General features: G+C 48.9%; 1 protein-coding gene across 26 annotated transcripts in view, besides 4 other annotated features; it reads left to right on the forward strand.

Moving 5' to 3' along the window:
* Positions 1-24,364, forward strand: part of ABCC1 (ATP binding cassette subfamily C member 1 (ABCC1 blood group)) — a 193,911-nt gene that overhangs the window by 26,956 nt on the left and 142,591 nt on the right. Inside the window, exon 1 of one of the 26 annotated variants that reach the window (XM_017023237.2) lies at positions 16,050-16,154. The exons of the other annotated variants lie outside the window; for them this stretch is intronic. Within the exon in view, the coding sequence (XP_016878726.1) occupies positions 16,053-16,154 (102 nt within the window). The 5' untranslated portion in view covers positions 16,050-16,052. Of the gene's footprint in view, positions 1-16,049; positions 16,155-24,364 lie in introns of those variants that run through there. 26 annotated transcript variants of the gene reach the window in all.
* Positions 12,774-13,437: an enhancer, noted in NCBI's record as "NANOG-H3K27ac-H3K4me1 hESC enhancer chr16:16082729-16083392 (GRCh37/hg19 assembly coordinates)". NCBI's record gives its function as "activates a minimal SCP1, AML or CMV promoter by ChIP-STARR-seq in naive H9 embryonic stem cells {active_cell/tissue: H9 hESC(naive)}" and the evidence as "EXISTENCE:reporter gene assay evidence [ECO:0000049][PMID:30033119]".
* Positions 14,197-14,729: an enhancer, noted in NCBI's record as "H3K4me1 hESC enhancer chr16:16084152-16084684 (GRCh37/hg19 assembly coordinates)". NCBI's record gives its function as "activates a minimal SCP1, AML or CMV promoter by ChIP-STARR-seq in naive H9 embryonic stem cells {active_cell/tissue: H9 hESC(naive)}" and the evidence as "EXISTENCE:reporter gene assay evidence [ECO:0000049][PMID:30033119]".
* Positions 15,262-15,793: an enhancer, noted in NCBI's record as "H3K27ac-H3K4me1 hESC enhancer chr16:16085217-16085748 (GRCh37/hg19 assembly coordinates)". NCBI's record gives its function as "activates a minimal SCP1, AML or CMV promoter by ChIP-STARR-seq in primed H9 embryonic stem cells {active_cell/tissue: H9 hESC(primed)}" and the evidence as "EXISTENCE:reporter gene assay evidence [ECO:0000049][PMID:30033119]".
* Positions 15,794-16,325: an enhancer, noted in NCBI's record as "H3K27ac-H3K4me1 hESC enhancer chr16:16085749-16086280 (GRCh37/hg19 assembly coordinates)". NCBI's record gives its function as "activates a minimal SCP1, AML or CMV promoter by ChIP-STARR-seq in primed H9 embryonic stem cells {active_cell/tissue: H9 hESC(primed)}" and the evidence as "EXISTENCE:reporter gene assay evidence [ECO:0000049][PMID:30033119]".

Below are 24,364 nucleotides of genomic sequence, written 5' to 3' on the forward strand. Positions count from 1 at the left end.
CTACTAAAATATAAAATCAATCAGGCGTGGTGATGGCACATGCCTGTGATCCCAGCTACTCGGGAGGCTGAGGCAGGAGAATTGCTTGAACCTGGGAGGCAGACATTGCAGTGAGCCGAGATTGCACTACTGCACTCCAGCCTGGGCAGCAAGAGCAAAACTCTGTCTCAAAAAAGAAAAAACTCAACAGAGAAAAGGCGGATCGTTAAGGCTTCTTTGGCACTTCCTAAGTGCCAGGGACTGTTGTTAATGCCTTTGAAGTGCTAATAATGACTTAATGGTGACAAGTTCCCTGTGAAGCAGGGACTGTGATTGTTTCTACCTTATGGGTGGGGAAAGGAGGCAGAGAGAGGTGAAGTCACCCAGCTAGTAAATGACAGGACTAGACTGAAACCCAGGCAGTCTGTCTCCAGGGCCTGGCCGGTACCCCATGCTCCATCTTGCCCCATAAACACCCTGGGGTGGGCCAGAGAGGAGTCTTTTCCAACAGGCTGTGCCAGATGACTTTGGCTAATCTTGGAGGCTGGAGGATTAGTCAGTCTACTAAGGGGGCTTCAGCATTTTGGCACGTGGCTTTATGAGCTGTTTACTCCAACAGTGATGATGACAATAGCCATAGTAGTGATAATACTATGGTAGAAGTAACTGCAGCAAACTCAACCCCTAACGAGTATTCTATCTTCCCAACATTGTGTGCAATAGCCATGAGAGATGGGTGTTATTCTTTTAATTTGACACACGGGAACTGAAAGCCAGAGAGATTGGGTGGCTTCCCCCAGGCCACACAGCCTGGAAGTAGTAGGACAGGGACTCGAGCCCAGATCTGCTGCCCCAGAGCCTGTGCCCTTGACCACCAAGTCATGGTCACTCCTTTCAACCCTGCCTGCCCCTGGGCCATCTGTGTTGTGATGCCGGCTGGCCAGGATGGGGAGTGAGGATTTCAGTTTGTCATAGGGCAGGGAGATGGGTGAGGCAGGACACTCCTTGAGATGGAAGGCTCTGGGGTCGGGGGAGAGGGAGTGGTGGAGACTGGGGTGTCTCCGAAGGAGTGTTTGAAGATGACGGTGGTTTTTCCAGTTTCCTGTTCTTAGCTATATTCAAGAAAAGGGTAAGCCAGAAAATTTCCCTCTGAGTTTCACAACTTCTGGGAGCTTTTGCAAAGTCTGGGTGATGCAGCATTTTCCTGGTTTGAATCCTAAGTGAAGTTTCATTTTCCTTCACTTAACTCATTCTGGCTCTGGCCTGTCTTCCCAGCTGTATTGGCCATCTGGTCCTCTTCTGGCTCTTTGTCCCATTTATTATTATTTATTTTTATTTTTAACAGAGATGGGGTCTCACTGTGTTGCCGTCTGTTCTGGAACTCCTGGACCCAAGTGATCCTCCTGCCTCGGTCTCCCAAAATACTGGGATTATAGGCATGAGCCTCTGTGGCCAGCTTATACCCCCTAAGCTTGTGACTATCTTCTATGTGTGTCCCTCTTGGAGTGAGGTTCCCTCCTGTCTCCATGTTGGCAAATCTTAGCACCTTGGCCCTTCGAGATGGAGGTCTGTGTTGCCTAGGCTGGTCCTGAACTCCTGGTCTCAAGTGATCCTCCCATCTTGGCCTTCCAGAGTGCTGGGATTACAGGTGTGAGCCACTGTGTCCAGCCAACCCTTCTTAGATTTTACTTACTTCAAGAAGCCTGCTTTGACCTCTCAAGTGGAAATAACAACTTCCAGGAATAGAGTGATCACTGGGCATCCATCTGTTGTCACATGAATGATTTTATCCATATTAAGGAGGCATTACATGCAGCAGTGAGCTAACCTGCCTGTGTTGAAGTTTTCTTCTTTTTACAGGCTGTACAACCTTGGGCAAGTTGCTTTACTTCTCTGTGCCTTAGTCTCTTCCTCAGCAAAATGGAAAAAATACTACCCATTTCAAATGGGGTGAAAATGAAATAATATATAAGTCTCGTCTTCACAATGTCTCTGATGAAAAGCAGGTATTGGTTGCACATGGTGCTCATGCCTGTAATCCCAGCACTTTGGGAGGCCGAGCAGGGAGGATTGCTTGAGGCCAGGAGCTTGAGACCAGCCTGGGGAACATGGCCAGACCACATCTCTTAAAAAAAATTTAGCTAGGTTTGGTGGCATGCACTTGTGGTTCTAACTAGTTTGGAGCAGGTGAGGAGGGAGGATCTCCTGAGCTCAGGAGGTTGAGGCTGCAGTGAGCTGTGATTGCACACGACTGCTTTCCAGCCTGGGCAACAGAGTGAAACCCCATCTCAAACAAACAAACAAACAAACAAACAAATAAACAAAAAACAGGTATTGTCCTTGCTGTATGAATGAGGAAAGTGAGTTTTCCTTTTTGCTTTGTGAAACTCTTTTCTGGATATTTCTTGCCTTTTATGTGTATCTCTTTGGTGGTACTCTGTGCTTTTAAAATCTTTTGTAATGGCCATTTATGGACAAATCGTATCTTATATTCAAGATTCTAAGCTTTCTGAGGGCAGGATATAAATGTGGTTGTTTCTGGTTCAAGTCCTGATACAAGCAAAGCTCAGTAATTTTTTTAAATGAATGGGTGGGCCGGTGGTTGGGTCTTCAGAGTCACTAAATACTGGTGGCAGGAGTGGGACCACATAGAAAAAAATATTAAGGCAGTGGATCTCAATGGGGAGTGATCTGCCTCTCAGAGGACGTTCATTGATGTCTAGAGACATTTTTGTTGTCACAGTTTGGGATGGGGGTGCAGTTGGTGTCTGTTGGGTTAGGATCAGGAATGCTATAAACATCCTGTGATACACGGGACAGACGTATCCAGCCTAAAACGTCAGTAGTGTTGAGGGTGAGAAACCCTGGGCTTATTAAGGCAACAAGCAACATATTAATAGCAACAGGAGAAAACATGCATTTAAATTTTTTTTGGCCAGGCGTGGTGGCTCACACCCGTAGTCCCAGCACTTCGGGGGGCCCAGGTGGGCGGATCATGAGGTCAAGACATCGAGACCATCCTGGTGAACATGGTGAAACCCCATCTCTACTAAAAATACAAAAATTAGTTGGGTGTGGTGGTGTGTGCCTGTAGTCCCAGCTACTTGGGAGGCTGAGGCAGGAAAATCACTTTAACCTGGGAGGCGGAGGTTGCAGTGAGCTGAGATTGCACTACTGCACTCCAGCCTGGAGACAGAGCAAGACTCTGTCTCAAACAAACAAACAAACAAACAAAAAAAAAACAAAATTTTTTTTCCACAAATGTGAAGTAGTCTAGATGAGATACGCTCTTCCTGAGATGATAAAGTGAGGTCTAAGTGTATTTATTAATTCTTTTGAGGAGGGTGTTAGGTGCTAAAGGCAGCACGTGTAAGGTGAAAATTGCGTATAGCCAAAATGACCCTGGGGCTTATTCTCTCTCTCTCTCTCTTTTTTAATAAACAGCTTTTTTGTTGAGATATAATTCACATACCATATGATGCACCTATAAAGTGTGCAACTCAGTTTAGTACATTCAGAATTGTGCATGTCTCCTGTCTCCAGGTAGGCAAATCTTAGCACCTCGGCCCTTCTTAGATTTTATTTTTTAGAGATGGGGGTCTCACTATGTTGCCCAGGCTGGTCTTGAACTTCTTGGCCTTCCTCCCATCTTGGCCTTCCAGAGTGACTATATTCAATATTCAAAGTGACTGTAGTCAACATTAGATATTTTTATCACCCTGCTTACTTGTTTTTATTTAAGACCTGGTGTGGTGTGTGCCTGGCCTTGTGATCACAAATGCTAGTTACACTGAATTGACATTTTGCTGAGACTCGTTCTGAGGTCCATTCATAGATGCCCTAGGTACTTCCTGATTACTTGCCACACCCCAGGAATTCTGCACAGTGAGTGGGGAGTGACATTTTGAGGGACAGCATCAGTACATTCACTGCGCTAAAGAAACAGTCTGGGGAGAGTGAGACATCGAAAAAATAACATATAAAATAAACATCTGATGGAGACATAGGAAGATGCCAACCTTCAACAATGTTTGACTTGGAGCAGGGGTTGGCATGCTTTTTCTGTGAAGGGTTAGGTAGTACATATTTTAGGTCTCTCAGGCCCAGGGGCAAATAGTCTTTCTTATAATATGTATTTAAAAATTGGCCAGGCATGGTGGCTTCTGCCTGTAATCTCAGCACTTTGAGAGGCCAAGGTGGGAAGATTGCTTGAGCCCAGGAGTTCGAGACCAGCCTCAGCAACAAAGTGAGACTCTGTTTGTATTAGTCTGTTCTCACGCTGCTATAAAGAACTGCCCAACACTAGGTAGTTTATAAGGGAAAGAGGTTTAATTGACTCACAATTCCACAGGGCTGGGGAGACCTCAGGAAACTTATACTCACAGCAGAAAGGGAAGCAAACATGTCCTCCTTCACATGGTGGCAGGAAGGAGAAGTGCTGAGCAAAAGGGGAAAAGCCGTTTATCAAACCATCAGATCTTGTGAGAACTCACTATAATGAGAACAGCATGGAGGTAACTGCCCCCATGATTGAATTGTCTCTCACTGGGTTCCTCCCACAACACATGGGGATTATGAGAACTACAATTCAAGATAAGATTTGGGTGGGGATACAGCTGAACCATATAATTCCATGGCCAAATGATATCGTTCTGCCCCTCCCAAATCTCATGTCCTCACATTTCAAAACACAATCATGCCTTTCCAAGTGTCACCCAGAGTCTTAGCTCATTCCAGCATTAACCCAAAAGTCCAATTCCAAAGTCTCATCTGAGACAAGGCAAGTCCCTTCTGCCTATTAGCCTGTAAAACTGAAAGCAAGTTAGTTACTTCCTAGATACAATAGGAGTACAAGCATTGGGTAAATACACCCATTCCAAATGGGAAAATTTGGCCAAAATGAAGGGGCTGCAGGCCCCATGCAAGTCTGAAATCCAGTGGGGCAGTCATTTCTTAAAGCTCTGAAATGATCTCCTTTGACTCCATGTCTCACATCCAGGTCATGCTTATGCGAGAGGTGGGCTCTAGCTATGGCCTTGGGCAGCTCTGCCCCTGTGGCTTTGCAGGGTACAGCCCCCATCAAGGGGCTTTCACGGGTTTGTGTTGTGAGTCTGCGGCTTTTCCAGGTGCACGGTGCAAGCTGTCCATGGATCTACCATTCTGCAGTCTGGAGGATGGTGGCCCTCTTCTCACAGCTCCACTAGGCAGTGTCCCAATGGGGACTGTATGGGGCCTCTGGCCCCACATTTGCCTTCTGCACTGCCCTAGCAGAGGTTCTCCATGAGGGCTCCACTGCTGCAGCAAACTTCTGCCTGGACACCCAGGCATTTCCATGCATCCTCTGAAATCTAGGTGGAGGTTCCCAAACCTTGATTCTTGACTTTTGTCCACAGGCTCAATACCACATGGAATCTCCTAAGGCTTTTGAGGCTTGCACCCTCTGATGGCACAGCCCGAGCAGCATTTTGGCCCCTTTTAGCCACAGTTGAAGCAACTGGAACAAAGTGTACCAACTCCCTAGGCAGCACACAGCAGGGGGGCCCTGGGCCCGGCCTATGGAATCATTTTTTCCTCCTAGACCTCTAGGCCTGTGATGGGAGGGGCTACTGCAAAGGTCTCTGACATGCCCTGGAGACATTTTCCCCATTGTCTTGGTGATTAACATTTGGTTCCGTTTTACTTATGCAAATTTCTGCAGCAGGCTTGAATTTTTCCCCAGAAAATGGGTTTTTCTTTTCCGTCACATCATCACCCTTCCAATGTTTCAAACTTTTATGCTCTGCTTCCTCTTAAACACTTTGTTGCTTAGAAATTTCTTCTGACAATCATCTAAATCATCTCTCTCAAGTTCTAAGTTCCACAGCTCTTTAGGGCAAAGGCAAAATGCTGCCACTCTTTTTGCTTAAGCATAGCAAGAGTCACCTTGGCTCCATTTCCCAAGAAGTTCCTCATCTCCATCTGAGACCACCTCAGCCTGGACTTCATTGTCCATATCACTATCAGCGTTTTGGTCCAAGTCATTCAATAAGTCCCTAGGAAGTTCCAAACTTTCTTACATCTTGCTATACTCTTCTGAGCCCTCCAAACTGTTCCAGCCTCTGCCTGATACTCAGTTCCAAAGTTGCTTCCACATTTTTGGGTATCTTTACAGTAGCACCCCACTCCCAGTACCAATTTACTGTATTAGTTTGTTCTCACGCTGCTATAAAGAACTGCCCAAGACTGGGTAGTTTATAAAGGGAAGAGATTTAGTTGGCCCACAGTTCTGCAGGGCTGGGGAGGCCTCAGGAAGCTTGTAATCATGGTAGAAGGGGAAGCAAACACGTCCTTCTTCACATGGCGGCAGGAAGGAGAAGTGCTGAGCAAAAGTGCTTCTTTTGCTGAGAAGTGTTGAGCAAAATCAGATCTTGTGAGAATTCACTGTCACAAGAACAGCATGGAGGTAACCACCCCCATGATTCAGTTACCTCCCACTGGGTTTCTTCCATGACATGTGAGGATTATGGGAACTGCAGTTCAAAATGAGATTTGGGTGGGGACACAGCCAAGCCATATCACTGTCTCTACCAAAAAAAAAAAAAAAGCCAGGTGTGGTGGCTCATGCCTGTATCCCAGCTACTCATGAGGCTGAGATGGGAGGATTGCTTAAGTCCAGGAGGTTGAGACTGCAGTCAGCTATGACCACACCACTGCACTCCAGTCTGGGCAACAGAGTGAGACGCTGTCAAAAAAAAAAAAAAAAAAAAAGGAAATCCATTCTTAGCCTGTGTGCTGTACAAAAGCAGGCAGCAGGCTGAATTTGGCCCACAGGCTGTGGTTCGCCAACTTATGACCTATACAAATGGCAATTCATATGGTTCATCCTAGCGATAACTGTACATGGTGTATTAGATACTATATAGCATGTTCATATCAAATGTCATATAATGTATAAGGTAACATATACAGTATAAAATAGTGCCTGAGAAATATTTGATGAAAAAATCTGATAAGTACTTAGCAGGCACAGTACAAAGTACCATGAAGTTGTTAAATGGGGGATCAGGGTGTTTGAGAAAGGGGTGGGGAGATAGGTGGGCCTCCCTCAAGAAGGAATGTTTCAACTGTGAGCTGAAGGATGCCCCTGCATTGCATGTCAGGGCAGTGATGGGGAGAAAGACTCCAGGTAGAGGGAACCCACTCTGCAAAGGCCCTGAGTCATGAAGGGGTCCCTGGAACAGTGAGTTGGGGCTGAACCCACAAGCTGCAGTTGTGGGGATTGTGATCCATCCTGAGAGCTCTGAGAACCTGGAATAGTTTTCAGCGCAGTGTGAAGGGACTGGGGCTGTGTTTTGAAGATATCCCCTGTCTGCGGTTGGGAGGGGAGTCAGGAAACCTATTTGGAGGCTGGGGTTTTCACCCAGGTCATGCAGATAAGATTTATTAGGTGTGGAATGAACTGAGCAAATCACATGTCTTCTAATGGTACACCACACTTTTTTTTTTTTTTTTTGGTTTTGAGACAGTCTTGCTCTGTCTCCCAGGCTGGAGAGCAATGGCATGATCACGGCTCACTGTAGCCTTGACTTCCCAGGTTCAAGCAATCCTCCTACCTCAGCTTCCGGAGTAGCTGGGACTACAGGTGCCCACTACCATGCCTGGCTAATTTTGGTATTTTTATTGGAGACGGGGTTTCATCATGTTGGCCAGGCTCCTCTCTAACTTCTGACCTCAAGTGATTCGCCTGCCTCAGCCTCCCAAAGTACTGGGATTACAGGTACAAGCCACCGCGCCTGGCCTTTAGTGATATTTTAAAGACTAAATTCCCTTAGAGATGCCTGGGTCTGCATTTATTGCTACTGTTCTGTTTCTCACTGTGTGTCTTGAGGTCATCAAAAGTAACCTGGGCCTTTTCCCTTGTTTTCTGCCTCCTCTAGGCTTATGAGCCATTAAGCAAAGCCGGATTGGTGTGTGGGTCAGGCTCTTCATGTTTTCTTTAGCTTAATAAGCAGTTTCTAAGGGAACTCATTGTGTCATTGTTTAGAATAGCAAAAGATGAGCAGCCTCCCAAGTGGCAATCAGTAGGGGCTGGGTGAATACAGTGGGTTCCACCCCTTCCGTGGTAGGGTGGGATGCTTGCAGAAGGACATAAGACGAGGAAGCCCTTTGTGCACAGATGTGCGGCAGCCTCCAAGGTCCAGTTTTTAAGTGAAAACGTGGAGATCCACTTGGTATATTTGGTATGTTACCTCTGTGTAAAAAAGCAGACAAGTAAGAATTACGTAGTTGTATTTGCTGTATTTGTAAGAAATTCCAGAGGGATAAATGAGAAACTAAAAGAGGCAATTGCATTTGGGCAGAGTAACTTTTTATTGTTTACCTTGATATATACTTTTTTTTTTTTTGAGATAGAGTCTCGCCCTGTCAACAGGCTGGAGTGCAGTGGCGTGATCGTGGCTCACTGCATCCTCCGCTTCCCAGTTTCAAGCGATTCTCCTGCCTCAGCCTTCTGAGTAGCTGAGATTACAGGTGTGTGCGCCACCAAGCTCAGCTAATTTTTGGTATCTTTAGTAGAGATTGGGTTTCACCACGTTGGCTGGGCTGGTCTCGAACCCCTGACCTCGTGATCTGCCCACCTTGGCCTCCCAAAGTGCTGAGATTACAGGCTTGAGCCACCGCGCCCGGCCTATATATGTATTATATAAACATATGCACACGCATGCATACGTACACACATATATATTTTTTAAAAATTGAGTCATGGCCAGGTGCAGTGTGGGTCACACCTGTAATCCCAGCACTTTGGCAGGTGAAGGTGGGAGGATTGCCTGAGCTCAGGAGTTTGAGACCAGCCTGGGCAACATGGAGAAACCCCTTCTCTACAAAAATCACAAAAATTGGCTGGGCGTGGTGGCATACACCTGTGGTCCCAGCTGCCTGGAAGGCTGAGGTGGGAGGATTGCTTGAGCCTGGTAGGTAGAGGCCGCAGTGAGCCATGATCACGCCACTGCACTCCAGCCTGGGTGAGAGAGTGAGACTCTGTCTTAAAGCAAAAACAGAGTCATATATTTCCTATTAAGGTGAAATTTAAAAAATAAATTCCTATATTCCATCATCCCCAGCTTCTGCCATTCTAAAGCATTTTCCTAAGCAGCTCCACTGTGGATGTAGCGGGTATTTCAGAAAGGCATTAGAAATGCCCTGGGAGGGCAGAACCCGGGGCTTCACTGGAGGTGCTGTTGGGCTCAGTCTGATGTCAAGGCAGGGACATGGCAAGGGTATTGAGATGTGAACAAGCATTACTCAGCAAGGTGACATGTGTTCATGCCTTGATACACTTGTTTCCCCACCAGCTCTATTTTTGTTGCCTGCTCTATTGGTTTCTTTTTCTTTTTTTTTTCTTTTGAGACTGAGTTTTGCTTTTGTTGCCCAGGCTGGAGTGCAATGGCACCATCTCGGCTCACTGCATCTTCCGCCTCCTGGGTTCAAGTGATTCTCCTGCCCCAGCCTCCTGAGTAGCTGGGACTACAGGTGTGCACCACCATGCCCAGCTAATTTTTATATTTTTAGTAGAGACGGGGTTTCTTCATGTTGGTCGGGCTGGTCTCGAACTCCTGACCTCAGGTGATCCTCCTGCTTTGGGCTCCCAAAGTGCTGGGATTACAGGTGTGAGCCACTGTGCCCAGTCTCTATTGGTTTCTTATTGCTGGTATTGCCATCAACTTGGTGACTGAGAACAACACACATCACTCTAGTTCTCGGGAGTCAGAGGTCCAAAATGTACGGCTGGTGTTCTTTCCGGAAGCTTGCAGGGAGAATCCATGGCCTGGCCCTGTCCAGCATCAAGAGGCCACCTGTCTTCCTCAATTCGTGGTTTCATGTCCCTCCACCCCTGCTTGTGTTGTCAAATCTCCTTTACTTTTTTTTTATTTTTGAGACGGAATCTCAGCTCACTGTAGTCTCTGCCTCCCAGGTTCAAGTGATTCTCCTGCCTCAGCTTCCTGAGTAGCTGGGATTACAGGTGCATGTCACCATGCCTGGCTAATTTTTGTATTTTTAGTAGAGACGGGGTTTCACCATGTTGGACAGGCTGGTCTTGAACTCCTGACCCCGGGTGATCTACCTGCCTCAGCCTCCCAAAGTGGTGGGATTATAGGCATGAGCCACCACGCCCTGCCTCAAATCTCCTTTTCTGACTCAGATATTCCCACCGTCCTCTTGTCCCTTATAATTCCCTGTGATTACATTGGGCCCACCTGGATCATCTAGGACAGGGGTCCCCAACTCCTGGGCCATGAACCAGTAGCGAGCAGTCTGTGGCCTGTTAGGAACTGAGTCATGCAACAGGAGCTGAGTGGCGGGCAAGCCAGCATTACCACCTGAATTCCACCTCCTGTCAGATCAGTGGCTGCATTGGATTCTCACAGGAGCGTGAACCCTAACGTGAACCGTGCATGCGAGGGACCTAGGCTGTGTGCTCCTTATGAGAATCTAATGCCTGATGATCTGAGGGGGAACAGTTTCATCCTGAAAGCCACCCCCCGCCATCCCTGGCAAAACTGTCTTCCATGAAATCCATCCCTGGTGCCAAAAAGCGTGGGGACCTCTGATCTGGGACATTCTCCCCATTCCAAAGTCCTTAATGATACCTGCAGAGTCCCTTTTGCCATGAAAGGTAAGAGACTCAGGTTCTGGGGACGGGGATGTAGGCATCTTTACGGGCTATTCTGTGTACTGCACCTGTTCAGCTTAGTTCCAGGCACATAGTAGGGGCTCAGTACATCTTTGTTGAATGACACAATCAATCATTTGGTTAGGCTAGAGAATGTGGAAGGAGGCCGGGTGCAGTGGCTCACGCCTGTAATCCTAAGGCTGAGGCAGGTGGATCACTTGAGCTCAGGAGTTTGAGACCAGCCTGGACAATGTGGCGAAACCCCATCTCTCCTAAAAATAGAAAAATTACCTGGGTGTGATAGTGTGTGTCTGTAGTCCCAGCTACTCAGGAGGCTGAGGCGGGAGGATCACTTGAGCCCAGAAGGTGGAGGTTTCAGTGAGCTGAGATCATGGCACTGCAGTCCAGTCTGGGCAACAAAACGAGACCCTGTGTCAGAAAAAGAGAGAATGTGGAGGGATATTATAGCAAGAAGTGGATCTGGAAGTTTTACTAGTAGTGGTATTTATTGAGCACCTACTGTGTGCTCTGGCTCATGTTTAACAAAGTGCTTATTTGCATAATGTTAGTATTCCCATTTTACAGATGCGGAAACTGAGGTTTAGTTGCTGGCCTAGTATTACAGGGTGAGGAGCTGAAGCCCCATCTGCCTGACGAGGGGTGTGTTGGGGATGTGGACTAGAAGCTTGGTCAGGGAGGGATTCTGTTCAAACAGGGCTGCTTAGCTTTGGCACTGTTGACATTTGGGGCCAGATATTTCCCGTCGTGGGGGCTGTCCTATGTATTGTGGCCATTAAGCAGTATCCCTGGCCTCTGTCCACAGAGTGCCAATAGCACTACCCTCTTCCTAAGTTGTGAAAACCCAGGATGTTTCCAAATGTTGTCACATGTCCCCTGAGTGACAAACTTGCCCCCACTTGAGAACCATGGTGTTGAAACATAGATCACGGCACATCAACTCCATGCTCCTCAGGTCACCCTGCGTGAAAGTCAGAATCCCTGCGGTGGCCTGTGCGTCCCGCACTGACTGTCTCCTCCCTGCCTTCTTCCTTCCTCGCTGTCTTCACTGCTTGTTATTCTTCAGACCTGTTGGCCTCTCTGCGGTTTCTCAGAAATGCCAGGCCTGGTCTGACTTCAGGACCTTTGCACTGGCTGTTTTCTCTGCTTGGTGTGCCCTTCCTCCAGATGGCCATTTGGTTTACTCCTCTGTTTCCTTCCATCCTGTATTTGTTTATTTATTTTTAATTGAGATGGAGTCTCGCTCTGTCACCCAGGCTGGAGTGCAGTGGTGTGATCGCAGATCACTGCAACCTCCACCACCCAGGTTCAAGGGATTCTCGTGCCTCAGCCTCCTGAGTAGCTGGGATTACAGGCATGCACTACCACGCTATGTTGGCCAGGCTGGTCTTGAACTCCTGGCCTCAAGTGACCCACTTGTCTTGGCCTCCCAAAGTGCTGGGATTATAGGTGTGAGCCACTGTGCCTGGCTCAATCCTGTATTTAAATACCCGTCCTCAGCAAGGCTTGCCCTCTTCTCTGAGTGCTTTTCATCACACATGTCTTCATATCCTCTCCTTTCTAAACCATCTGTCTCTTCTCTTTAGGCTGTCAGCTCCAGGAGGGCCGGCCCTTGGTCCCTATTGTTCACTGCTGGGCCCTCAGCCCTAGGAACCGTGCTCTGTAAATGGATGAATGCTGTCTGTCCTGTTACTGCAGTGTCCCCAGACATATCCCTATGCCCAGCACATGCCTGACCCCTCACAAGACCCTGGAACATGACTAAGGGATTTATTTGGTGAAACATGAGAGTCTGATAAGAGGAGAGGAAGTGGCTGGGGAGCAACCTTGCAAAGATAGCCAGGGTTGGATGGAGAAAACGAGGGTGAGTGTCAGCTTCATAGGACGGGCCTTCCACGAGAGGCCTCATGGTGCTTGGGAGAGTTGGGGTGAAAGCAGGTTGGAACAAGATGCTTGCTGCTGACATTTGGGCACTGATGGGCAGCCTGACCTCTGCTTTCTTTTTAGTGCTTAACAACACTGAAGCCCTGTTAAGACAGGATTCTTAGGACTGGGCACAGTGGCTCATCCAGCACTTTGGGAGCCCTGGGTGGGAGGATCATTTGAGCCCCAGGAGTTTGAGGCCAGACAGGGCAACATAGCAAGGCCCCATCTCTGGAAAGAAATACAAAAATTAACCAGGCTTGGTGGTGTGCACCTCTAGTCCCAGCTACTTGAGAGGCTGAGGTGGGAGGATCACTTGAGCCTGGGAGTTCAAAGCTGTAATGAGCTATAATCATGACATTACACTCCAGCCGAGGAGACAGAGCAAGACTCTGTCTCAAAAAAAAAAAAAAAAAAAAAAAATTAGTTTTGCATGTAACTGTGTTCAGTTCTGTGTCTTGGACGTGAGGATTTGTGGTACCCGCCTGGATAGAGCAAGGATGGCCGTGCCCCTGCCTTCCTGGGTGATGGGGATAAGTCTGGAAATTGCCCCTGTGATGTTACTGGGCTTTATTCTTAGCTCTGCTGAGTTAGGGGGCAGGGTGGGGTGCAGCCCAGCCAACAGCATGCCAGGGCGCGTCACTGCCCACGCGATGCTGGCTTCAGCCGCCTTCCTCTCACCTCATGGCCCTGCCAGCCGTGCTTGCCTCCTGCTGTGTCGGGGCTGGGAGACTTTAGCCTTTCTCCAGATGTTTTCAGGAGTGCGGTGGGGAAATGAAGGCCACATGCTGTCTCTCTAAACAGGATTAATGTTCAGAAGCCCAGCGGGTGCCCTGACCTAACCACGGGCCTCTTGCACTCCTTTTCTCAGCTTCCCTTGGCTTCTGAGCTACCCCTCTGCAGCGTTGTTTCTGAGTGTGGCATTTAGGAGCACCCTGTCGTCTTGCCTTTCGTCCCTCCAAGCCCCGTCTGTTCCTTGGTTGGTTGTGCAGAAGAGTTGCTAGGGTTTGAATCCAGGACGGTCCTGCCCCTGTGACTCGCGGGCCATCTTCTCACCTGTTTGTCTCTGTGTTCCTCTCTGTAAAAGTGGGAATCATTACAGTACCTTCCTCATAGACTGCTAGGGTGATAAAATGGAGCGATGTACATGAAACCTGAACGCAGTGCCTGGTATGCAGTCCGTGCTTAGACAGGGCTCTGGTTTTATTTTTATTTCTTTTTCTTTGAGACTTGGTCTCACTCTGTCACCCAGGCTGGAGTTCATTAGCATAATCACGTCTCACTGCAGCTTCCCACTCCTGGGCTCAAGCGATCTTACCACCTCAGCCTCCCAAGTAGGTGGGATTACAGGTGTGAGCCACTGTGCCTGGCACCATTCAGCAATTTTTTTTTGTTTTGTTTTTGAGACAGAGCCTGGCTCTGTCACCCAGGCTGGAGTACAGTGGTGCGATCTCAGCTCACTGCAGTCTCTGTCTTTCAGGTTCAAGTGATTCTCCTGCCTCAGCCTCCCAAGCAGCTGGGATTACAGGCGTCTGCCACCACACCCAGCTAATTTTTAGTAGAGACAGGGTTTCACCATAGTGGCCAGGCTGGTCTTGAACTCCTGACTTCAAGTGATCCACCCTCCTCGGCCTCCCAAAGTGCTGGGATTACAGGCATGAGCCATCACACCCGGCCATCAGCAAATTTTTAAGTATACAATATAGTATTGTGAGCTATAGACACTATTCTGTACAGTAGACCGTAGGACTGACTGACTCATCTTGTATGACCAAAACTTTATACGCTTTGACCAACACCTCCCTGTTTCCCCCACCACCAGCTCCTTGCAACTACCATTCTGTTCTCTGCTTCTATGAGTTTGTCTTTTTTAGATGTCACATGTGAGTGAGATCTTGCAGTGTTCGTCTTCCTGTGCCTGGCTTATTTCATTTAGCATAATGTTCTCCAGGCGCATCCATGTTGTTGCAAATGGCAGGATTTCTTTCCTTTTTTTTTTAGACAGAGTCTTGCTCTGTCTCCCAGGCTGGAGTGCAGTGGCACGATCTCGGCTCACTGCAAGCTCCGCCTCCTGGGTTCACGCCATCCTCCTGCCTCAGCCTCCCGAGTAGCTGGAACCACAGGTGCCTGCCGCCACGCCCGGCTAATTTTTTTTTTTTTTTTTTTTGCATTTTTAGTAGAGATGGGGTTTCACCGTGTTAGCCAGGTTGGTCTCGACCTCCTGACCTTGTGATCCGCCTGCCTTGACCTCCCAAAGCGGTGGGATTACAGGTGTGAGCGACTGCGCCCGGCCAGGATTTCTTTCCTTTTTAAGGCTGAGCGATAGTCCATGGCATGTATAGATCATGTTTTCTTTGTCCACTTGACCACGGATAGACATTTAGTTGTCTCCATCTTGGTTGCTGTGAGTGACGCTCCAGTGAACACGGGAGTGCAGATATCTCTTCAGGGCCCATGTGTGGCTGAGATTAGGAGATCACTGCTGTCGTCTCTAGTTCAGCAGTGCTAGTGCCTCCTGGCGTTTAGCGTCCAGCTCAAGGGAGTGGAATTTGGGTGTCTCAGGGTCTAGGGCCACCTGTGCCTCTAAATCGCAGGGAAGCTTTGTGTGTGTGTGTGGTGGGGTGCGGGGGGCTATGGGTATGTGGTGGGGTGAATCTTATTTCTCTTCTTTCCCTTTTCTTAATTTTCCGTTGGCAAAACAGAGCGCCACTCCAGACCCCTTTCATTCTTGCAATATACATGAAAAGTACAGGGCTTGTTCTGCAAAAGAAGAGTAGCCCCAGCGAGCTCAGGGTTGAGTGAAGTTCCGCAAGGATGGCACCTCTCGGCTCTTCTGGGGGCTTCAGGACAGAGCTCAGTGTCGCCAAGCAGGACCCCCACTGCGGGCGGAGCTGCAGGGCCATCAACATTCATTAGGTGGATCAGTGAATGTAGACTCTGCGGTGTCACAAAGCAGCACCTGTACTCACTGTGCCTGTCTCGGGATGGAATCTAAGTCAGACATCCTTGCATCCCCACTTATGGGCTGTTCCTTCACCTTGCTGGTCCTCACCTTTCTCCTAGAGTTACGGGGAGGAGTAAATGTGCTAAGGCCATACACGCCGACTCTGCAGTGGCCTTGAACCATGCTTCTCTGTCACCCCTTTCGTTGCCTTGACAATGGCTGCAGCCTCCTTTCCCATCTCCCCTAGGATCTTCTCCTAGGGTCTCTTAATACAGGGGTCCCCAATCCCCAGAGCACGGACTGGCACCAGTTCATGCATGCCCTGTTAGGAACCAGGCCACAGGCCACACAGCAGGAGGTGAGTGGCAGGCGAGCGTGTGAGACTTCATCTGTATTTACAGCCGCTCCCCATCTTTTGCATCACCGCCTGAGCTCTGCCTCCTGTCAGATCACCTGTGGCATTAGATTCTCATAGGAGCGCGAACCCTGCTGTGAACCGTGTGCGCGAGGGATCCAGGCTGTGTGCTTCTTTTGAGAATGCAATGCCTGATGATCTATCACTGTCTCCCATCACAGCTGAGATGGGACCATCTAGTTGCAGGAAAACAAACTCAGGGCTCCCACCGATTCTACATAATGGTGAGTTGTATAATTATTTCATTATATATGACAATGTAATCATAGAAATAAAGTGCACAATAAATGTAATGCACTCGAATCATCCCCTACCCTGTCTGTGAAAAATCGTCTTCCACAAAACCTATCCTTGCTGCCAAAAAGGGGATGGCTGTCTTTTTTTCTTTTGAGATGGATTCTTGCTCTGTTGCCCAGGCTGGAGTGCAGTGGCACAATCTCGGCTCACTGCAGCCTCTGCCTCCCAGGTTCCAGCGATTCTCCTGCCTCAGCCTCCTGGGTAGCTGGGATTATAGGCACAATGGCACCGTGCCTGGCTAATTTTTGTATTTTTAGTAGAGACGGGGTTTTACCATGTTGGCCAGGCTGCTCTCAAACTCCTAACCTTGGGTGATCCTCCCGCCTCGGCCTCCCAAAGTGCTGGGATTACAGGCGTGAGCCACTGTGCCTGGCCAGGGACCACTGTCTTAATATGTGAATTAGGCGATGCCATGACCCTGCTTAATGCACTCCCAGGGCCTCCTGTGAGAATTAGAACAAAAAATCCATGCTCTGTACCATGCCTCCAAGATTGGCTATGTGGTGGCCTTTGGTGACTTCTCCCGCCCAATCTTGGGTCCTAGCTCATTGGTGCAGCCATATCCTCCCCCCACCCCACCCCACTGTGGCCTTTGCCTGTGCCATCTTTCTGCCTGGTATGTGCTTCCCGAGATCTTTGCACAGCCAGCTCTTCCTGACCCTTCCAGTCTGCTAGGATGTCATCTGCCCAGACCGCCACTCTGGTGCTTCCTGTCCTGACACCCCTGCTCTTTCCTTCACAGCAGGTACTGCTCTTTGTCATTATGTTCTTATCTGTGAGCTTTCATCTTTGATGGACTATGAGTCTTAAGAGGACAGAGATATCGTTTCTGATTTTCCCCCATGCCTGTGACTAGCCCAGGTCTAGGCATATAGTAGGTGCTCAATAAACAGTCATCGAATGATAGATTGAATGAATGAATGCATGACAGGAACCCTGCACTTATCTGTGTTAATCCGTCTCTTGGCTGCCGGGAACACCAGCTCCTGCAACCTGGCACTTGGGTCACCTGATTGAACCCTCCTGATAACTCTCTAAACTCTGTAATAGGTGGGTTCTAGAATTAGTCCCATTTCACAGATGAAGAAATCAAGGCCTGGTGAGGTGAACTGACTTGCTTTAGGGCAGCAGGGATGATTTTTGCCTCTCTGGAGATATTTGGCAATGTCTAGAGACAGTTTTGATTGTCATAACTTGAGGAGGTGGGGAGTGCTACTATCATCTAGTGGCAGAGGCCAGCGACGCCACTCAGTATCTTACAATGCACAGGATGGCCCCCGACAACCAAGAATTATTTGGGCTCAAATACCAGCGGTTCTGAGGTTGAAGAAGCCCTGCTTGAGGGCACACATCTGTAAGTGGTGGAGACGGGAACCTAGACCTGGAACCTTGTTTTGTTAACCACTACCCTGCACTGCTCACATGCGGGGGTGGGTGGGTGGGAAGAGTTGTAGAATGTTTCCATGTCTGAGTCAAAATCTTGCTTCTCTGCTCTAGGGAGATGAATTTGGAATCTGTGAGGCCTGAGGCCATTCACTTGATCTCCGGCCCTGGAGATCTTGCCTCCAAGCGACCTCAGGCTCCATCTGTCTGCCATGTACCTTGCAAACACCTTAGAATTCTGGCTGGGCATGGTGGCTCACACCTCTAATCCCGGCACTCTGGGAGGCCGAGGCGGGCAGACTGAGTTCAAGACCAGCCTGGGCAACATGGTAAAACCCTGAATCTACAAAAGATACAAAAATTAGCCAGGCATGGTGATGCGTGCCAGGTAGTCCCAGCTACTTGGGAGGCTGAGGCAGGAGGATTGCTGGAGCCCAGGAGATCGAGGCTGCAGTGAGCTGTGATGGTGCCAGTGTACTCAAGCCTGGGCAACAGAGTGAGACCCTGTCTCAAAAAACAAAACCAGCTGACCAAACAAACCAAAAGGCCTTAGAGTTCAAGCACGTGGTTTAGAGGTGGTGGATCTCAGTGTCAGACTCTCAGTGGGTTCAAATCCTGGCCCTGTTTCTTCTAGGTTGACGAGCCCAAGCAATTTACATAAACTCTCTGGACCTCAGAGCCCTTGCCAGGAAAGGGGAGAGTTTTAATAGTCCTGACTTTGTAGGGCTGTTGGAAAGCTTAAATGGACTGTGCTTGGGAAGCACTTAATCACTGTGCCTGGCGTGATCACTCTGGCTGTTATTATTGGCACCCAATAAATACATGCTTTCTCTTTGTTTCCAACTCAGCATTTAGAAATGTCCTACCCTTCAATTCCTGCTGCTATTTATTTATTTGAAGTGCGAACTAGCTTTCTTATTATTATTTTAGAAATCATGCAGAGGAGAAAATTCAAACAGTACGAAAGATAATACAACAAAAAATAGTAGTTGCCTTCCTCTCCCTGGTTTCAGGCCTACCCCCTGCAGATTAATTAGCTTTTTTTCTTTCTTTTTTTCTTTTCTTTTTTTTGCAATATGAAGTCTTGCTCTGTTGCCCAGGCTGGAGTGCAGTGGTGTGATTTTGACTCACTGCAACCTCCGCCTCCTGGGTTCAAGCAATTCTCCTGCCTCAGCCTCCCTAGTAGCTGGGATTAGGGCAGATCATGAGGTCAGAAATGTGACAACAGCCTGGCCAACATGGTGAAACTCCATCTGTACTAAAAATGCAAAAATTAGCCAGGCGTGGTAGCAGGCGTCTGTAATCCCAGGTACTTGCGAGGCTGAGGCAGGAGAATTGCTTGAACTCGGGAGGTGGAGGTTGCAGTGAGCCGAGACCACACCATTGCACTCCAGCCTGGGCAACAAGAGCGAAACTCCGTCTCAAAAAACAAACGAAACATCAAATTCCTGACTGTGTATGCTGCTTGCAGGTTATATATGACCAGGCCTGGTTCTGTATCTGTAAAATGGGTTACGTTATAGTACCTGAGTCCTAGAGTTGTGTGTGAGGATGAAATGTAATGTGAAACACTTAGAGTGGTGCTTGGCTGATGCAACTAATGAATCTTCCCTCTTACTCTTTCTATAGACAGAAGAAGGCGGCACAGGTTTCTTCATTGCTTTTCGCCCTTTGCTGAAATGTCATCTTGGCCCAGAGGCCCTTTCTGTCTACCTGATAAAGAACTAGCACCTGCCCACCCACCATTATGCTTCACCCACTTTCTTCTTCTTCAAGCCATTTGCTCCCATTGGGCATACATAGAGTTGTTTTTTTTAGCTGTTGGTAGTTTTGGCCGCTTTGCATAAAGTGAAATTGTGTGAGAGTGGAGACTTTATTTTACTTCCACATGACCTTGGCCCATGGTAGTAGTCGCTGATAAATGTCCACTGAGCAATAAGAACCCGACTGTTGCAAGTTACTTATTTATTTATTTTTGAGACAGGGTCTCAGTCTTTCACCTAGGCTGGAGTTCGGTGGTGCAGTCATAGCTCACTGCAGCCTCGAACTCCTGGGCTCAAGGGATCCTCCTTCGTCAGCCTCTGGAGTAGCTGGGACTAAAGGCAAACGTCATCACATCTGGCTACTTTTAAATTTTTTTATTTGTAGAAGGTGGGGAGTCTCACTCCATTGCCACCTCTGGTCTCGAACTCCTGGGCTCAAGTGATCCTCCTGCCTCGGTCCCCCAAAGTGTTGGGATTACAGGTGTGTACCACCACGCCCAGCTAAGTTTTTTTTTTTTTTTTTTTTTTTTTGAGATGCAGTCTCACTCTTTTGTCCAGGCTGGAGTGCAGTGGCCTGATCTCGGCTCACCACAACCTCCACCTCCTGGGTTCAAGCGATTCTCCTGTCTCAGTCTCCTGAGTAGCTGGGACTACAGGCGCACGCCACCATGCCCGGCTAATTTTTGTACATTTAGTAGAGAGAGGGTTTCACTATGTTGGCCAGGCTGGTCTCGAACTCCTGACCTCATGATCCGCCCGCCTCAGCCTCCCAAAGTGCTGGGATTACAGGCGTGAACCCCTCCACCCGGCCAGCTAAGTTTTTAAATTTTTTTGTAGAGATACAGTCTCACTGTGTTGCCCAAGCTGATCTGAAATTCCTGGCCTCAAACTATCCTCCTGCCTCTGCCTCTTCAAGTGCTGGGAAATATAGGCATGAGCCACTGCACCCAGCTGGTTGTGAGTTATTGAGATGGTTGAATTGGGAGTGGATGCTCAGGCCTCAGTGGAACTTGTGGTACACAGTATGTCCTCATTACCTCCCATCAGTGGCAGTTGAGATTCATAATCACTTTTTCTGCCTGTTGTCTGCCCCATCCTCTCTGTGGCCTTCCCTCCTGTCCTGGAGTTGGCTGGCTGGGTCCCTGGCAGGGCTGCATGCGTTATCCCTGCAGGCCTGCTTGCCTTATCCCTGCAGGCCCTGGTGGAGCATCTGTGCAGAACCTGTGCCATCCAGATGGGAGCAGTAAGGGTGTAGGGCAAAGTTAGTGAGCTGCCCGGTGCACGAGGACTTCCATGATAATCAGGGCTGAACCAGGAAGGCAGGTCAAGGCCAGGGTCATGTACAGAAAGGAGGTCAGCACCAGGATCTTGTATGGGAAGACTTAGATCAATGCCTAGTGCCTTAGTCATCATCATTCAGCCCAGAAAACATGACGCTATGCAACAGGAATTTTATGAACACACAAAGGTCAGGGGCCACTCGGACTTGGACGGGGTCCCCAACTCTTTGAGTGTCAGGGCTGAGGGCATGGAGACACAACTTGATCAAGCTGGTGAAGTGTCCAGCAAGGAGAAGCCTCTGTTGGAGGGAGCCGGGAGCTGGGGAGGACATGCGCTTTCTCTTTTTTTTTTTTTTTTGAGACGGAGTCTCGCTCTATCGCCCAGGCTGGAGTGCAGTGGTGCAATCTCGGCTCACTGCAACCTCTGCCTCCTGGGTTCAAGCGATTCTCCTGTCTCAGCCTCTCACGTAGCCGGGACTCAGGCCTGTGCCACCACGCCTGGTGAATTTTTTTGTATTTTTAGTAGAGACGGGGTTTCACCATGTTAGCCAGGATGGTCTTGATCTCCTGACCTCGTGATCCACCTGCCTTGGCCTCTGAAAGTGCTAGGATTATAGGCGTGAGCCACCGCGCCCAGCCGACTTGCGCTTTCTCTGTAAAGATTTCTGTGGGCCAGGTTCCCCAAAGGGCAGGCCCTGGGCCAGTGCAGTGACCGGTGACCGTGTTCAGGACTCATCTCTTGTGGCTGAATTGTGTGTCTGGAGAGTTGGGTCCTTCTGATTCTGCTCAGAGCGTGGTGGGCCTGGCTGGATTTCCCTAGATTAGGAAGCAGCCTCGGGTAGCTGTGATTCTTTGAGTTGGGAACAGCAAGTGGCCTGCAGACTGCCAGGGAATCGTCCCTTCCTTGAGCCTTTAGGTATTGCCCATTATTCACCGTTTTTCCCAGAAGCCTCCAGTAGTGAGAGTCGCACTTCTTACCTCCTGGAGTTGTTAAAGTAAAGAAGGACACATTAGGGTCCCTGCCGGTAAGGAACATCCAGGAGGCCTCGATACCTTTTTTTTTTTTTTTTTTTTTTCCCTGAGACAGAGTCTCGCTCTGTCACCCAGGCTGGAGGACAATGACCTGATCTCTGCTCACTGCAACCTCCACCTCCTGGGTTTAAGCGATTCTTGTGCCTCAGCTGCCCGACTAGCTGGGATTACAGGCATTTGCCACCATGGCTGGCTAATGTATTTTTTTTTTCTTTTTCAGTAGAGATGGGGTTTCACTATGTTGGCCAGGCTGGTCTTGAACTCCTGGCCTCAAGTGATCTGCCCTCCTCAGCCTCCCAAAGTGCTGGGATTTCAGGTGTGACCCACTGCGCCCAGTCCCGATACTTTGTTTCTTTGAGACAGTCTCTTACTCTGTCACCCAGGCTGGAGTGCCTGGGTGGGACGATCAAAGCTCACTGCAGCCTCAAGCCCCTAGGCTCAAAAGATCCTCCCACTTCAGCCTTCTGAGTAGGTGGGACTACAGGCCTGCACTACCACGCCTGGATAATTTTTAAATTTTTTTGGTGAAGACAGGGTCTTACTTTGTTGCCCAGGCTTTTCTTGAACTCCTGAGCTCAAGCAATCCTCCCGCCTCAGCCTCCCAAAGTGCTGGGTTTACAGGCGTGAGCCACTGTGCCCGGTCCTCAGATGATCTTAGCTTTGTGACCTATGCTGTTGGCCGCTGTAGGGGCTGTGATGGAGGTGATGTGGGGGTGGATGGCAGGGGTGACCCGTGTTGGCTGCTTTCTGTAACAGTCATAGTTCATGGTCAGAGTCAGATTTCCTCTCGTCATGCCTTCCTTCCCTTCCTTCTGCTCCCTCCCACAGCCGCCCTTTGGGTCTGGGCTGGCCATCTGGCTCTGAGCAGGAAGCTAGCCTGTGCTCTTCAATTTGCTTTCTGCAGGGGAAACACCTTCCTTTGCTCAGCGTTTCCTGACCTCTCCTTCCCTGGAGTTCCGGTGTCCTTAAATGCTCTCTGGTTTCTTCTGTAGCTTACTTTCTTGCTTGAAAGGACAACTTTTCTTTGTCCTTTAGACTTCTTATCTCTGGGCAATACAGTGGTGGTGGCAGTGGTGATTATTATCAACTATTAGTATCTGCTACTACGGTTTATTGTCTCTAGACTGTATCAGCACCTGTCACACATTGTCCCATTGAATCCTCTCCAGAACTCTTCCAAATGATGTGTTTTCCTGACTTTTAAAAAAATTAAAAAAAAATTTTTATATTTTTTTGAGACGGAGTCTCGCTCTGTCTCCCAGGCTGGAGTGCAGTGCTGCGATCTCGGCTCACTGCAAGCTCTGCCTTCTGGGTTCATGCCATTCTCCTGCCTCAACCTCCTGAGTAGCTGGGACTACAGGTGCCCGCCACCACACCTGGCTAATTTGTTTTTTAATATTTTTAGTAGAGACAGGGTTTCACCGTGTTAGCCAGGATGGTCTCCATCTCCTAACCTCATGATTCTCCCACCTTGGCCTCCCGAAGTGCTGGGTTTACAGGCGTGAGCCACTGTGCCCAGCCAAAAAAATTTTTTTAAAGAAATGGGGTCTCGCTGGGTGCGATGGCTCACGCCTGTAGTCCCAGCACTTTGGGAGGCTGAGGTGGGCGGATCACCTGAGGTTGGGAGTTCCAGGACAGCCTGACCAACATGGAGAAACCCCATCTCTACTAAAAATACGAGATTAGCCAGGCGTGGTGGCAGGCGCCTATAGTCCCAGCTACTCGGGAAGCTGAGGCAGGAGACTCGTTTGAACCCGGGAGGCAGAGATTGCGGTGAGCTGAAATCTCTCCATTGCACTCCAGCCTGGGCAACAAGAGTGAAACTCCGTCTCAAAAGAAAAAAAAAATAGAAAAAGAAAAATAAAAGAAATGGGGTCTCACTGTGTTGCCCAGGCTGGTCTAGAATTCCTGGGCTCCAGCTGTCCTCCCATTTCGGTCTCCCAAATTGCTGGGATTAAATGTGTGAGCCTCTGTGCCCGGCCTCTTTCTCTCTCTCTCTCTCTCTCTCTCTCTCTCTCTCTCTCTCCTCTCTCTCTCTCTCTCTCTCTCTGTCTCTTTCTTTCTTTCTTTCTTTCTTTCTTTCTTTCTTTCAGCCTGAGTCTCGCTTTGTCGCCAGGCTGGAGTGCAGTGGCACGATCTGGGCTCACTGCAACCTCTGCTTCCCAGGTTCAAGTGATTCTTCTGCCTCAGCCTCCCGAGTAGCTGGGACTACAGGTGCATGCCACCATGCCTGGCTAATTTTTGTATTTTTAGTACAGACGGAGTTTCACCATATTAGCCAGGATGGTCTTGAACTCCTGATCTCATGATCTGCCCGCCTCGGTCTCCCAAAGTGTTGGGATTACAGGCGTGAGCCACCGCTCCTGGCCTTCCTTTTTTTTGAAGCAGGTTCTCACTCTGTTGCCCAGGTTGGAGTGCAATGGTGTGATTATGTCTCACTGCAGTGTCTACCTTCCAAGGCTCAGGTGATCTCCTGCTTCAGCCCACTGAGTAGCTGGGATTATAGGCGAGTTCACCATGCCTGGCTAATTTTTGTGTTTCTAGTAGAGACGGGTTTCACCATGTTGTCCAGGCTGGTTTTGAACTCCTGGGCTCAAGTGATCCACCCGTGTCGGCCTCCCAAAGTGCCGGGATTACAGGCATGAGCCACCGTGTCCAGCTTTTCTGACTCTTTTTACT

Source organism: Homo sapiens, chromosome 16 (assembly GCF_000001405.40).
Source record: "Homo sapiens chromosome 16, GRCh38.p14 Primary Assembly".
Lineage (NCBI taxonomy): Eukaryota > Metazoa > Chordata > Mammalia > Primates > Hominidae > Homo > Homo sapiens.